This window comes from Homo sapiens, chromosome 12 (assembly GCF_000001405.40).
Source record: "Homo sapiens chromosome 12, GRCh38.p14 Primary Assembly".
Lineage (NCBI taxonomy): Eukaryota > Metazoa > Chordata > Mammalia > Primates > Hominidae > Homo > Homo sapiens.
This window is the reverse complement of record NC_000012.12, coordinates 45,917,976-45,933,447: the sequence shown is the minus strand read 5'-3', so window position 1 is coordinate 45,933,447 and position 15,472 is coordinate 45,917,976. Positions and strand designations below refer to the sequence as shown.

The 15,472-nt window shown below is 36.2% G+C and overlaps 1 protein-coding gene across 11 annotated transcripts in view; it reads left to right on the top strand.

The window, feature by feature from the left end:
* SCAF11 (SR-related CTD associated factor 11) overlaps nucleotides 1–14,317 on the top strand; it is a 72,929-nt gene extending 58,612 nt beyond the window's left edge. For 6 of the 11 annotated variants that reach the window (XM_005269230.3, XM_047429879.1, NM_004719.3 and 3 more), the window contains 7 exons: nucleotides 216–317; nucleotides 1,836–1,942; nucleotides 4,589–7,306; nucleotides 8,374–8,720; nucleotides 10,294–10,512; nucleotides 10,866–10,985; nucleotides 11,254–14,317. In XM_005269230.3, coding sequence (XP_005269287.3) covers nucleotides 216–317; nucleotides 1,836–1,942; nucleotides 4,589–7,306; nucleotides 8,374–8,720; nucleotides 10,294–10,512; nucleotides 10,866–10,985; nucleotides 11,254–11,400 — 3,760 coding nt within the window. In that variant the 3' untranslated portion in view covers nucleotides 11,401–14,317. The remainder of the gene's footprint in view (nucleotides 1–215; nucleotides 318–1,835; nucleotides 1,943–4,588; nucleotides 7,307–8,373; nucleotides 8,721–10,293; nucleotides 10,513–10,865; nucleotides 10,986–11,253) is intronic. The other 5 variants (XM_047429878.1, XM_047429882.1, XM_047429881.1 and 2 more) reach the window with 3 other exon arrangements.
* Nucleotides 14,318–15,472: the final 1,155 nt, after the last annotated feature.

Genomic DNA, 15,472 nt, shown 5'->3' with positions numbered 1-15,472 from the left:
CATATAAATACAACTCTGATTTGCAATATAAAAATTGTACTTATTTTAGGAATGAGTTTATTTTGAAAGTGTTTAAATAGAAAAGAGCTCACATGCTTGTAAGTGTGATTCATAATGCCAGGTACAAAAACGACTGCTATTCTTTGTACAACCTAATTGTTTTTTTGAACCTAAAATTGTGAGATTCTGATGAAGGTCTAAAATTTATCTTTTAGTACAGAATTTATAGAAGCCAGTGAAATCAGTGCATTGATTAGGCAGAAGAGACATGAACTGGAATTGTCATGGTTTCCTGATACATTACCTGGAATTGGAAGGTAAAAATAAAAAATTATTTACTCAGGTGTTTACATGCTAACATGAACAAGATAGCATTAGTACTTAAGTACAAGGGTACCTTATTCAATTGTTATTTTCCTAAGGAAGTTTTGTGCAAATTAAACTTTGGTGTTTCAAATGCCCAATAAAGATTGCTATATAAAGGACCCCTTAGAAAGTAAAGAATCCTTAATTTATCTGTTTAACAAGTATAGCTGTGTATATGCTAGATTTATTTAAAAGGGAGAGAACCCGAATATTAAGATTTATTGTTAGTAATACATCTGTCATCATTCCTCTACTCTTCTCCCATTCCAGTCTTACCTGCGTGCTGTCCGCTGAATCACGCTTTTACCATATTCCTCTCCTCAAAAATGTTTTTCTAAATAACTATTTGATCAAGTGCCTACTCTACCCTGACACTCATGACTTTCTGTAATCTAGTTTTTTATTTCTTAGTTTATTCTTGAAGCTACTAAGATGGTGCTAGATAAATAATATATACTTAAATCAAGCTCCTAAGTAAAGATTAGGGTCGCTGCCTGAGTTTTATATTAATTCCTATAACATATTATGACTTTATTTTATATGTCACTATAATATAGTTCTGTATAGGGCATTCACCCTCTAAGAATGATGGCAGAACATAATAGAAGTCAGATGAAGAATTCCAGATGTATGTACTATGAAACCCTTCCTTATAGTTACATATTTTTATACATGTACAAGTTACATTTTTTTTCCCATGCTTCTCCTACTCCAGAATCTTACCTTATATTGAATCAGATAGTCTTTTGTTAGGAGACCTAAATGAATAAGAAAAAGAAAGCCAAGAAGTGGTTTGGGTTTGAATGGAGAAAATTTGAAGGAGGGGGTCTTAACAGGTCTCTAGGGACACTGAGAACTTTGAAGAGCCATCACCAGGTCGAGGAATTTTAGAATATAACATAGTGGTATAAATCAGTTCCTTGGTTGCCTGGAAAGGAGGGAGAAGGATACAAAGGAGTGTGAGGACACTTTCTAGGGGGGCAGAAATGTTCTCTTTCTTGATTGGGGTGGTGGTTAACACAGACATATATATATATATATGCACACACTTTGGTAAAAAGTTAGCAAATGTACGCTTAAAGTCTGCATTTTATGTTGAATTACACCTCAAAGTTGATTTTATTTTTTTAGAGTAGTGAAGAACATGATGAAAGCTGGAAAAATTCTTGACAAAATACTACATAAATTATTTCAAAGAGAAACATCTGTGTTAAGTTGCTTTCATCTTTTCTTTGCCATGAATTTATCAGAAAAACATACTTTTAAAGGTTTTTTTCTGAATTTTAGCCAATTGGTAGCTATCTTTAGACAAGGAGTAACCTTGAATTTACATTTTTAGCTATTTGGGCAAAAAACATTTAAGCACTGTATTTTAATATTGCTAACCTGATTTAGAGAATTAATACTTTTAAATTGGTGGTTTAATTTTTTAAACCATTTAAACAAAAATGTCTTTATTATGTTTTCAGAATTGGTTTTATACCCTGGAATGTTGAAACAGAAGTCCTTCCTCTCATTTCTTCTGTGTTGCCAAGAACTATTTTTCCAACAAGTACCATATCTTTCGAACATTTTGGTAAAGTTTGTGAAATCATTTTCTATTTTAAAAATTATTATTATTAGTTTCTTCCAGTTTCATAAAAATGTGTGTTTGATGACTTAGAAAAGCTGTAAAGTAAGGCATAGTAACTTGTAAATACGTCTATAAATATTTGGACAATGACTTAACTTTAGAATTGCTTCAACTAGAGTGTATGTATATATAGATAGATAGATACATAGTCTCTCCATATATCTATATACACACACAATGGAATATTATTCTGCCACAAAAAGAAGGAAATCTTGTTTGTGCCAACGTGGATGAACCTGGAGGACATTAGGCTAAGTGAATAAGGCAGGCACAGAAAGGCACATAACCACATGATCTCACTTATATGTGGAATCTAAAAAAGTTGATCTCGTAGAACTAGATTGTAGATTAGGGGGTGGGGTAGGTGTGGTGGGGTGGAGGTTGTTGGTCAGAGGATACAGTTTCAGCTGGATAGAATAAGTTCTAAAGATCAATTGTGAAACGTGATGACTATAATAATACAGTTGACCCTTGAACAACATAGGTTTTAACTGGGTGGCGACATTATACATGAATTTTAAAAAATAAATATATCGGAAAATGTTTGGAGATTTGCAACACTGAAAAAACAGAAAAATCGCATAACCTATAAATAGTGAAAAAAATTAAGAAAAAGGTATGTCATTAATGTATAAAATATATGTAGGTACTAGTCTATTTCATCATTTACTACCATAAAATATATACAAATCTATGATAACAAGTTAAAATTTATCAAAACATATACACACTCAAACCACATGGTTCCACCATTTGCAGTCATAAGAAATGTAAACAGCTGTAAAGATACAGTATTAAATCATAGCTGTGTAAAATTAAATATAGTACGTATTTACCAGTGTAACAATTTTTGTGGCCGCCACCTGTTGCTATTCTGGTGTACTCAAGTGTTGTGAATGTCTGGGAGGTTGAGGCTACAATGAGCCATGATTGCACCACTGCACTCCAGCCTGTGCAACAGAACAACAGCCTGTCTCAAAAAAAAAAAAAAACAAAAAAAAAACAAAACACAACGCAAAACCTGGTTTAATGTAATCATCTCCATGTGAGCATTTGTCTTTCTAATAGATTGCATATCACAGTAAAAAGTGATCTCTTGCAGTGCATGCATATTTTTCATAGTGTTTAGTGCAATACTGTAAACCTTGAGTAACACCTTTGGGACCCACATAAGTGCCATTAGTGATGTAGGAAGTGCTCCCAAGAAGCAAAATTATGGCTTTATAAGAAGAAGTTTAATTCCTTGATAGGAACAGATTGAGATCTATAGCTGCAGTTGCCTGCCATTTCAGACAGATGATTCATCTTGTAAACAAATGATATAAACTTAGGGTATCAATAAATACAGTACAGCATTATAATGTATTTTCTCTTATGATTTTTGTAATAACCTTTTCTTTAGCTTCTTTTATTGTAAGAATACAGTATGTAACACATAACATAAAAAATATATTAATTCACTGTTATCAGTAAGGAGTCTGGTGAATAACAGTTAAGTTTTGGGGAGTAAAAACTGTTTCAATTTTTGACTGTGTTGGGGGTTGGTGCTCCTAATCCCTGTGTTGTTAAAGGGTCGACTATATTGTATTTTTGAAAATTGCTAGAGAGTGGACGTAAAGTGTTCTCACTAAACAAATTATAACTATGTGAGGTAGTGCATATATTAAGTAGCTAGATTTGGTCATTCCACAATGTATATGTACTTCAAAACATCATGTTGTACATGAGAAACACAGTTTTATCTGTTAGTCAGTTTTAAAAATAAAAAATATTCCAACTAGAAACTCTGTTGTAGTTTTTGAAATTACAACTTGGAGGCTTTGAGGAACTGATTAGAAGTCTCCTTTCTGTTTCAGGCTTTCATATCCAAACCATAGATCTTTAGAAGTAACATCTGTTAATTAATTATTAATAAATAGTTTGAGTCTTTATTAATTCATGGATAACTTGACCATTTTCTCTCTCCTTTTGCTTAGATAATCCCAGATCATGGCCGGGCACAGTAGCTCACGCCTGTATTCCCAGCAGTTTGGGAGGCCGAGGCAGGCAGATCACTTGAACTCAGGAGTTTGAGACCAGCTTGGGCAACATGGCAAAACCCTGTCTCTATTAAAAATACAAAAATTAGCTGGGCATGGTAGTGCATGCCTGTAGTCCCAGCTACCTGGGAGGCTGAGGTGGGAGGATCGCTTGAGCCTGGGAGGTTGAGGCTTCTGTGCGCGATGATTGCTCCAGTGATCACGCCATTGCACTCCAGCCTGGGTGACAGAGTGAGACCCTGTCTCCAAAAAAAAAAAAAATTAAGCAAGTAGCAGTTACAAGACCAAAAGTTATTTTCCTTTTTTTTTTTCTCTATAAAATTGCCCATTTGGACCAAATCTAGTTATAACTTATTTCAGTGTCATTAAGAAAGTTGATGAATAAGTCATATTACTCAGATGTTAGTAGCTATGCATTTATTAATAGTTTTATTTATAAGTATTTAGTTTCACTCTGTTGCAGACTATTTTATGCTAAAATTAGCTAAAGCCAAATTACTATTTCTTAAAACATATTTTTTACTTTTTTTTTTTTTTTAAATATTATTAGGTACTTCTTGCAAGGGATATGCATTAGCACATACTCAAGAAGGGGAAGAAAAGAAGCAAACTTCTGGTACATCAAATACCAGAGGATCAAGACGAAAACCTGCAATGACAACTCCTACAAGGAGGTCTACACGTAACACAAGAGCTGAAACAGCCAGTCAGTCTCAGAGATCCCCAATATCAGACAATTCTGGGTGTGATGCCCCAGGTAACAGTAATCCATCTTTAAGTGTTCCCTCTTCAGCTGAGTCAGAAAAGCAAACAAGACAGGCTCCAAAACGGAAGTCTGTAAGAAGAGGAAGAAAACCACCTTTACTGAAAAAGAAACTTCGGAGCTCTGTAGCTGCCCCTGAAAAATCATCTTCCAATGATTCAGTAGATGAAGAAACAGCAGAATCTGACACATCACCTGTGTTAGAAAAAGAGCACCAACCAGATGTAGACAGTAGTAACATTTGTACTGTGCAGACTCATGTAGAAAACCAGTCTGCTAATTGCTTGAAAAGTTGCAATGAGCAAATAGAAGAAAGTGAGAAGCATACTGCAAATTATGATACAGAGGAAAGAGTAGGATCTTCATCTTCTGAGTCTTGTGCTCAAGATCTTCCTGTGCTAGTTGGTGAGGAAGGGGAAGTTAAAAAACTCGAGAATACAGGTATAGAGGCTAATGTTTTGTGTTTGGAAAGTGAGATTTCTGAAAATATTCTTGAAAAAGGAGGTGATCCATTGGAAAAGCAAGACCAGATATCTGGACTTTCACAATCAGAGGTAAAGACAGATGTATGTACAGTTCATCTTCCAAATGATTTTCCTACATGTTTAACATCTGAAAGCAAAGTGTACCAACCTGTATCTTGTCCCCTAAGTGACTTATCTGAGAATGTAGAGTCAGTGGTTAATGAAGAAAAAATAACAGAGAGTTCCCTAGTAGAAATTACTGAACATAAAGATTTTACACTAAAAACAGAGGAGCTTATAGAGAGCCCCAAGTTAGAATCTTCTGAGGGTGAAATTATACAGACAGTGGACAGACAATCTGTTAAGAGCCCAGAGGTTCAATTGCTTGGGCATGTTGAAACTGAAGATGTAGAAATAATTGCAACATGTGATACTTTTGGGAATGAAGATTTCAATAATATTCAAGACTCTGAAAATAACTTACTAAAAAATAATCTTCTGAACACCAAATTGGAAAAATCTTTAGAAGAAAAGAATGAATCGCTGACCGAACATCCTAGATCTACAGAGTTGCCTAAAACACACATTGAACAGATTCAGAAGCATTTTAGTGAGGACAACAATGAAATGATACCTATGGAGTGTGATTCATTTTGCAGTGACCAAAATGAATCTGAAGTTGAACCATCTGTAAATGCTGATCTTAAACAAATGAATGAAAATTCTGTGACACACTGTTCTGAAAATAATATGCCGTCTTCTGATCTTGCGGATGAAAAGGTTGAAACTGTTTCTCAACCATCTGAAAGCCCAAAAGATACCATAGATAAAACCAAAAAGCCTCGTACTCGAAGATCTAGATTTCATTCTCCATCTACAACTTGGTCACCCAACAAAGACACTCCACAAGAAAAGAAGCGGCCCCAGTCTCCATCTCCCAGAAGAGAAACTGGGAAAGAAAGCAGGAAGTCTCAATCACCATCTCCTAAGAATGAGTCAGCCAGAGGCCGGAAAAAATCCCGTTCTCAGTCCCCAAAAAAGGATATTGCAAGAGAAAGGAGGCAATCTCAGTCTCGGTCTCCAAAAAGGGATACTACTAGGGAAAGCAGAAGATCTGAATCACTGTCCCCAAGAAGAGAAACTTCTAGAGAGAACAAAAGATCTCAGCCAAGAGTGAAAGATTCTTCCCCAGGAGAAAAATCCAGGTCCCAGAGCAGAGAACGAGAAAGTGATAGAGATGGGCAGAGGAGAGAGAGAGAAAGGAGAACCAGAAAGTGGTCTAGGTCCAGATCTCATTCTAGGTCCCCCTCAAGATGTAGAACAAAAAGTAAGAGTTCATCATTTGGTAGAATTGACAGAGATAGTTACTCTCCCCGGTGGAAGGGAAGATGGGCAAATGATGGTTGGAGATGTCCACGAGGAAATGATCGGTACAGAAAGAATGACCCAGAGAAACAGAATGAAAATACAAGAAAAGAAAAAAATGACATCCATCTAGATGCTGATGATCCAAATTCTGCTGACAAACATAGAAATGACTGTCCCAATTGGATAACAGAAAAAATAAACTCTGGGCCTGATCCAAGAACCAGAAATCCAGAAAAGTTGAAAGAGTCTCATTGGGAAGAAAATAGAAATGAAAATTCAGGAAATTCTTGGAATAAAAACTTTGGTTCTGGTTGGGTATCTAACCGTGGTAGAGGCAGAGGCAACCGTGGCAGAGGCACTTACAGAAGTAGTTTTGCCTATAAAGATCAGAATGAAAATCGGTGGCAAAATCGAAAACCCCTCTCAGGGAATTCAAACAGTTCAGGGAGTGAATCTTTCAAGTTTGTGGAACAGCAATCCTATAAGCGAAAAAGTGAACAGGAGTTCTCATTTGATACACCAGCAGATAGATCTGGATGGACATCTGCATCCAGCTGGGCCGTGAGAAAGACTTTGCCAGCAGATGTACAAAACTACTACTCACGACGAGGCAGAAATTCTTCAGGTCCACAGTCTGGATGGATGAAACAAGAGGAGGAAACATCTGGACAGGGTAATGTATTCTTGTTGGTTTATTGATACTGTTTTATTTGAAGAATTATAAATTTAATATGTTATTTGTATGAGTTGAAATGATCCTTATTTGTAGTTTTTATAATAAGCTGAACCTTAGTTGTTTACAAGTCACTTAGCATTATATAAATATATATACACGTACGTTTATCTACATAAGTATATTATTAATGCTACCTCTGCTCCAAACCTTGCCAAAGACTTAAATATTTTCAGCACTGTTTGCTACAATAGAAGAGTTTGGGATATTCCTATGCAGGATTTAACCTCTAATTTGTTTATTTCAGATATGTACACTTTTAATTTTTTTGATAATTGTTCTCATACAAATAAAATAAGCCATTGTTTTAATAGTAAAGATTTATATTTCCTTGTTTTTTTTCTTGTTAAGAACATTGCAAGATAAAGGCTGTTGAAGATGTAAAAATTGAATAACCTTATAATTTAGTAGTTAAATTTTATGTGATTTTTTTTTTTAACTAGTCAGTTTCTTGAGCTACTGATTGTTGATGTATGTTTTGCATGAACTTATTCTTAAAAATATTTTCAGGTGAATGTTCGTTTTGTTTTTTGAGATGGAGTTTCTCTGTTGTTGCCCAGGCTGGAGTGCAATGGCATGATCTTTGCTCACTGCAACCTCCACCTCCTGGGTTCAAGCAATTCTCCAGCCTCCTGACTAGCTGGGATTACAGGCGCTCACCACCACGCCTGGCTAATTTTTGTATTTTTTTAGTAGAGACGGGGTTTCACCATGTTGGCCAGGCTGCTCTCGAACACCTGACCTCAGGTGATCTGCCCGCCTTGGCCTCCCAAAGTGCTGGGATTACAGGCTTGAGCCACCGTGCCTCGCCAAATGTTTTCTTTCATTAGAAAGTCAGTCCACATTATTTAGAAATGACAGGATTAAATTAAGCAATTGGAGATTGGTATTGGTATACTGAGCCTATTAATTGCTATTTAATTTTACTGTAACCAGTGGTTCTTTGTTTCTCTGTCTAAAGAGATTTATAACATGATTTTTTTCACAAGCTTTTTTTCTTTTGATAGATTCTAGCCTAAAAGACCAAACAAACCAGCAAGTTGATGGTTCTCAGCTACCTATAAATATGATGCAACCGCAAATGAATGTAATGCAGCAACAAATGAATGCACAACACCAGCCTATGAATATCTTCCCATATCCAGTGGGTGTTCATGCTCCTTTGATGAACATCCAACGCAATCCATTTAACATTCATCCTCAGCTACCCTTGCATCTCCACACAGGAGTGCCCCTCATGCAGGTAGCCACTCCTACCAGTGTATCTCAGGGACTACCACCACCACCACCCCCTCCCCCACCATCCCAACAAGTCAACTACATTGCTTCACAACCAGATGGAAAGCAATTGCAGGTATGTTTTTAGCAACTCAAGTTTAATCAATATAGCCATTGTAAACATTTAGCTGTTCATGACAGATGTTCAAAAAAAGGCATCCTGGCATTCAAAAACAATTGTTTATTTGATTTCAGTTATGGTAAACCTTCATAATCCCTCTTTCACTATCCTTCTCAAAACCCCCCAACTCCCAAATTAGAAAATTAATTAAATACTTATTACCAAATCCAAGCTACATATATGCTGTTACTTATATCTGAACAGGATTTTTTTATTCATATTAAGTAAACCAAATTATAAGCCAAATTAGAATCGAGTGGTGGGTGCTTTACATTTTTCCCCTGTTTTGCACTGTTTAGGGGGTATATGGGGACGGTGGGAACTAGTGATTAAGTACTGTGATGAAGCTTTTATTGTCTTGTTCAGACAAACACTGGATAAAGCTGTTTATTATCCATTACCATCTGTGTTTCATTTTCATGAATTTATCATGCTAAAAAGAAAGGAGAAGTGCCTCTGTGAGACATAGAAAATTTGAATAATTTGCAAACAATTTGTTGCTTATAATTTTATGACTGCCTTTTAAAAATTTTAGAATCCTAGGCCGGGCATGGTGGCTCACGCCTGTTATCCCAGCACCTTGTGAGGCCCAGGTGGGTGAATCACGAGGTCAGGATCAGCCTGGCCAACATGGTGAAACCCTGCCTCTACTAAAAATACAAAAATTAGCCGGGTGTGGTGGCAAGCGCCTGTAATCCCAGCTACTAAGGAGGTTGAGGCAGGAGAATTGCTTGAACCCAGGAGGCGGAGGTTGCAGTGAGCCGAGATTGCACCACTGCACTCCAGCCTGGGTGACAGAGCAAGACTCTGTCTAGAAAAAAAAAAATACAAAAATTAGCCAGGCGCGGTGATGCATTCCTGTAATCCCAGCTACTCGGAGGCTGAGGCTCAAGAATCACTTGAACCTGGTAGTCGGAGATTGCAGTGAGCCAAGATCGCGCCACTGCACTCCAGCCTGGGAGACAGAGTGAGACTTCGTCTCTAAATAAATAAATAATTAATTAAAATAAAATAAAATAAATAGAATCCTGACAGTAAGATAGAGTTGAAGGAATAGGGAAATTGGATTTTAGTATTTGGGATCTTAATCTTTTTCTCCTGTCAACTTACTGCAAGCCTTTTTTCTCCTGTCAACTTACTACAAGCCATTTGACTTTACTGCCTTATTTTTTCCAGGCTTTAAAGTGAGGGCACTTTAATATTTGTTAATATTCCTAAAGATCCTTGCAGGAAAGATATAATTCTTTAAATGCTATTCTCCTCCTTGTGTTTAGTATTGCTGTCAAAATGTTACAATACATATATATAATTTAAAAGTCATCTTGACATATCTAAATAAGGCCCCGTTTAAGAATGTTACTCATTTTTCTTTAAAGGGCCCTTTAGATATAATTACCTGAAATATGCATTTTTCTTTAGTACTAAGGTTGGTTTGCTTTGTGTTTTTTAATGTTATTTCTAATGCATCACTAAAAGACTTCTATCGAGTACAAGTAATTCATTAACTGATGATAACTCTTTAAAACAGGGTATTCCTAGTTCTTCTCATGTAAGTAATAACATGAGTACACCAGTTTTGCCTGCTCCGACAGCAGCCCCAGGAAATACGGGAATGGTTCAGGGACCAAGTTCTGGTAATACTTCGTCATCAAGTCACAGCAAAGCCTCTAATGCTGCTGTAAAATTGGCAGAAAGCAAAGTAAGTGTTGCAGTGGAAGCCAGCGCAGATAGCTCGAAGACAGACAAGGCAAGTTCAAGGTTGAGAGCAACCTTCATAATTCTGTATATGATAAAGGAGAAAAAATATCAGCTTTTTATTGTATGAGTGGTGAAGGGAATTTCTTATTGGCTGTCTAAATGCCATTATTATTTGAAGGATTCTCTCTAGATGTGTTGATGTCCAGTAAATTACTGGTAATATTTTATAATTGTTTTTAGAAATGTTTGATATGTTTTAGTAAATAAACTGTTTTATATTTGTCACGTTAATAGTTGGAGAGTCTCTTATTGTAAATATGAAGTATTTTCAATTTCTTGTTTGGGATTTTGTGAGAGCAGTATGACTGGCAAATAATAAATTATACATTTTCTTCTCATCAGAAATTGCAAATTCAAGAAAAAGCAGCACAAGAGGTAAAATTGGCCATCAAGCCATTTTACCAAAATAAAGATATCACCAAGGAAGAATATAAAGAAATTGTACGGAAAGCAGTAGATAAAGTAAGTTATGGCTTTAGTGGAGTATGTGCACGTTGTTTTGAACCACCTCTGTTTTAATAAATGAATGCTGAAGTTTAATTAAAATAATAAAAGCTAGCTCCTACTAATTCCTGTCTACTTTTTTGCCTTTTGATTAGTTTGTGTGAGATAATGAAACATGAAAATAAGTCTGGTTATCTCTTTGGGGTTGTTTTTCACAAAGCTTTCTATTTTGGCTTTAATCCCTTTAAGCATGAAAAAAGTTTACCCCCCACCCCTTTTTTCTTAGGTTTGTCATAGTAAGAGTGGAGAAGTAAATTCTACTAAAGTGGCAAATCTGGTTAAAGCCTATGTAGACAAATACAAATATTCACGGAAGGGGAGCCAAAAGAAAACTCTGGAAGAACCTGTGTCTACTGAAAAAAACATAGGCTGAAATGGGGAACGCTGTCAAGGACATTATCAGGATATCTGCAAAGTGCAATTTCAACATGTACCATTAACTGAAAATCATACATAACTGTGATTGAAATTTGGTTTTGATAAAATTATTTTTTTAACATAGGATATGATGTTTTGTTCTAAATAAATATAGGTCTGCACTGCAACTTCTGTATCCTTCCTTCCCCTCCACCCTCCCCCACAAAATTCAAGGGAAAGTAAAGGGTTTAAAGGAATGTGCATCTTTACTAGGACTGTGTTATAGTGTGGATACTGGAAAATGTATAGCTTTTTGATTAGGGCAATGGAGTGCATAAATTAGAAACTTCTAAGTGCACTGGTTTTCAAAGAGATATATATAATGCATTTATTCTGTCAGGTTAAAATGTAAAGTATGATCTTTATGATTTTTTCCCTCTAATTATAGAAAGTTAAATAATGTATTACCATGAAAAATGTTTCTAATATTAAATAGAACATATCAGTTGCAAAGTTCCTAATGTGTATTTTTAAAGCACATATCTGAATAAATTGCCTAGATAGAAAAAAAATTATCACGAGTAAAATTTAGTGTTCAAAACATTGAGACACTCTTCACCTATTGTATGACCAAATAAAGGTTATGCTGCTTGTTTTTCTTTTGTGCCTTTGTTTACCCCTAATTGAGATAAGCAGTTTGACTTACTAGATTACAACTTTGGCAGTTCAAAGTCTTTGTTGAAGACTTTGAGGAAAAAGATTTGGAAAAATTGTTGACTTTCGGCCGGGCATGATGGCTCACGCCTGTAATCCCAGCACTTTGGGAGGCCGAGGTGGCGGATCACCTGAGGTCAGGAGTTCGAGACCAGCCTGGCCAACATGGTGAAATCCCGTCTCTACTAAAAATACAAAAATTAGCCAGGCGTGGTGGTGGGCGCCTGTAATCCCAGCTATGCGAGAGGCTGAGGCAGGAGAATCAGTTGAACCCGGGAGGCGGGGATTGCAGTGAGCCGAGACCATGCCATTGCACTCCAGCCTGGGCAACAGGAGCAAATCTCCGTCTCAAAAAAAAGAAAAAAAAAAGTGTTGACTTTGTAGAAATTATGTTCTTTCATAGTATCTTCTTCTACCCGTTGCAGACGATAAATTATTTGTGCCAATTCGAGAATTGCTGTTAGGCTGTTATCCTCCCTTCCTTGGGGCTAAGAATTACAAGACTCATGGCACTGGCGTAAAGTTGTTGTTTATCTAATCACTGATGAAATATTTTCACACTTGAAAATCCCCAAATGCTTTACAATGAATGAAGTGTTAATTTGGTGACCAGGTGGTAGCCATTAGCCATGTTGCAAAATTCTAGACAGTAAAACCTGTGTTTTAGAAACAGAGGGGAAATTTAAATAATGGAGTCCTGGTTAGCCTTTCAGGGATTAGGGATTTGGGTTTTTTTTTTTTTCTCTTTTTAATACTAGAATATCTCAGTTTTTATAAAAGGTAAGTTTAAAATGTTTATTGTGCCATTATTTTAACTGGCATCTTGAAAGAACAGTAGGTTTTCTCCATGATAAACTGATTCCAGTAAGAATTTTCAGTACATACCAAGTACCTGGAAAGTTCTTCAGATAAGTTAATAGATCCAAGGAGATACATGCCTCAGTGAGATAAACTGACCTTTTTACTAGCTAAACTATTTAGCCAGAGCAATACTCTGTAGAACTGTGCTTTTCTAAAGTAAAGATTATCTGTTTCTCAATTTTATGTGCATAATACTTTTCCTGGTGCTAGCTTTGATAGGCAAAATATTTTGAAATGTTGGTCCCATAATGATTGTGCTAGTTCATAAGCTTTGTTGTTATGAGTGTAATCATAAAAATATTTCCAAGCAGTTTTTGACCTTTATTCTACATTTCTGGGCATTTGTAATATGGTATTCTACTGGTATATATTTTTAAAGTTTGCGTTTAGATTATGGTAAAGAAATTTCAAGCATATTTCTTCTAATAAAGTATTAAGACAGTGTTTCAGAATATCAAGGCACACCTCCTTAGTTGTTTTAGATTAGAACTCTAGAAACAATTTTGTGAACATTGAAAGTATTTTGAGTTAAGCCTAAGCTGATTAATCACACAATACATACTTTTCCTGCATTTTCTTTCAGTGACATTTGAGAATTGGGTGACATTTTAAAATGTGTTTTATACCATTTAGCTTTTGCAAACAAGTTCTAAAGTTTTGGAGAAAAAGTGATGTGGTCAAGAGTTGAAGTCTCATATATCTTTAGTAGCACTCCCATGAATTATTTCCGTGACAGTAACAAGTGTGTGTTCCATGTCTGATTTGGGGCACTGGTTAGACTGCATTAATAGCTACTTGATTAGAATTCGAACTTTTAAAATTTTGAAATGTTTAAGAATGTATTAGAAAATGCATGCTTTATGTTGAAAAAATACATTGCTTTAATATTCCTCATTCTTGAGTTAAGAAATTTATGTTAATTTTGCATGGGCACAAACTTAATCAGAAACATTTTGTGGAGTTACATTTCCTCTTATTATTTATCAAGGTTCAGTATTGATCTTTGAAACCTTGGTCCCGTTAACTTACTAGTCACATTGACCAATGTTTTATAGAAATGCCTAGAATTTTGAGACTAATAGTAGTTATCCATTAACATTCCAAAAGTTTTGTGCTTTTTAAAATTTGTTTTGGTAATTATCACATTTTTTTCTCTTACCTTCCTTTAAATGGCCACAGTGTGTACTGCTGGAATGTTCCATCCAAAAGATGTAGCTTCAGAAGCACAGTGATTGCCCCAGGGTCCATGAGATATTGTTTGTATTATGAAGTTGGAGTGCTGTCTACTGAAATTATACTCTTAAATAAATATGTATGTAGTGTGTAATATTTTCTAATAAATTCTTTTGATAAACTAATGTCTTTAACATTTTATTATTAAGGTTCCAGGGGAATGGTGACTTTTCAATTATAATCCCTTACAAACGTATTGAAGTGTTACTTGGATTTGTACCAGTCATTCGCATCATGGTTACGTAATACCCAAGCTCTAAAGCAAGCTTAGAGTTAGCTATAAGCATATATTTTAATGGCATTTTCCCCTGATTACATAATTATTGTAAGAAATTAGAAAAACTTTAGTAAATGTGTAAAAGAAGAGACTGAAAAAGGAGAAAAATCACCTGTAATCCTACCAAAGGTAATAACTAATGCCAAGCAAACTGCACATAATATGTTGTAACCTTTCATTTTCACTTGACGTACTGAGAACTTTCCATTTTAGTAAAAATTACAGCATGATTTATACTGGCTGTATAATATTCTCTTTTTTTTTCTTTTTTTGAGATGGAGTCTCGCTCTGTTGCCCAGGCTGGAATGCAGTGGCGCCATCTCAGCTCACTGCACCCTCCACCTTCCGGGTTCAAGCAATTCTCCTGCCTTGGCCTCTTGAGTAGCTGGGATTACAGGCACCTGACACCACGCCTGGCTAATTTTTGTATTTTTAGTGGAGACGAGGTTTCACCATGTTGGTCTCGAATTCCTGACCTCAAGTGATCTGCCTGCCCAGCCTCCCAAAGTGCTTGATTTACAGGTGTGAGCCACCACACCTGGCCCAGTGGCTGTATAGTAGTCTATAACGTGACTGTACCAGTAAAAGAATCCTCCACTGTTGGATATTAAGTTGCCTTTTTTCTTTGAGACGGAGTCTCGCTCTGTCGCCCAGGCCGGACTGCAGTGGCGCTATCTCGGCTCACTGCAAGCTCCACCTCCCGGGTTCACTCCATTCTCCTGCCTTAGCCCCCAAGTAGCTGGGACTACAAGCGCCTGCCACCGCACCCGGCTAATGTTTTGTGTTTTTAGTAGAGACGGGATTTCACCGTGTTAGGATGGTCTCGATCTCCTGAACTCGTGATCCGCCCGCCTCAGCCTCCCAAAGTGCTGGGATTACAGGCATGAGCCACTGTGCCTGGCCTAAGTTACTTTTATGAATATAAATTAGTAAAATATAAATAAGACGTATAAACAGTCTCTACCAATTTCAGATTTTCTTGGGATTCTAGAATATTTTATCA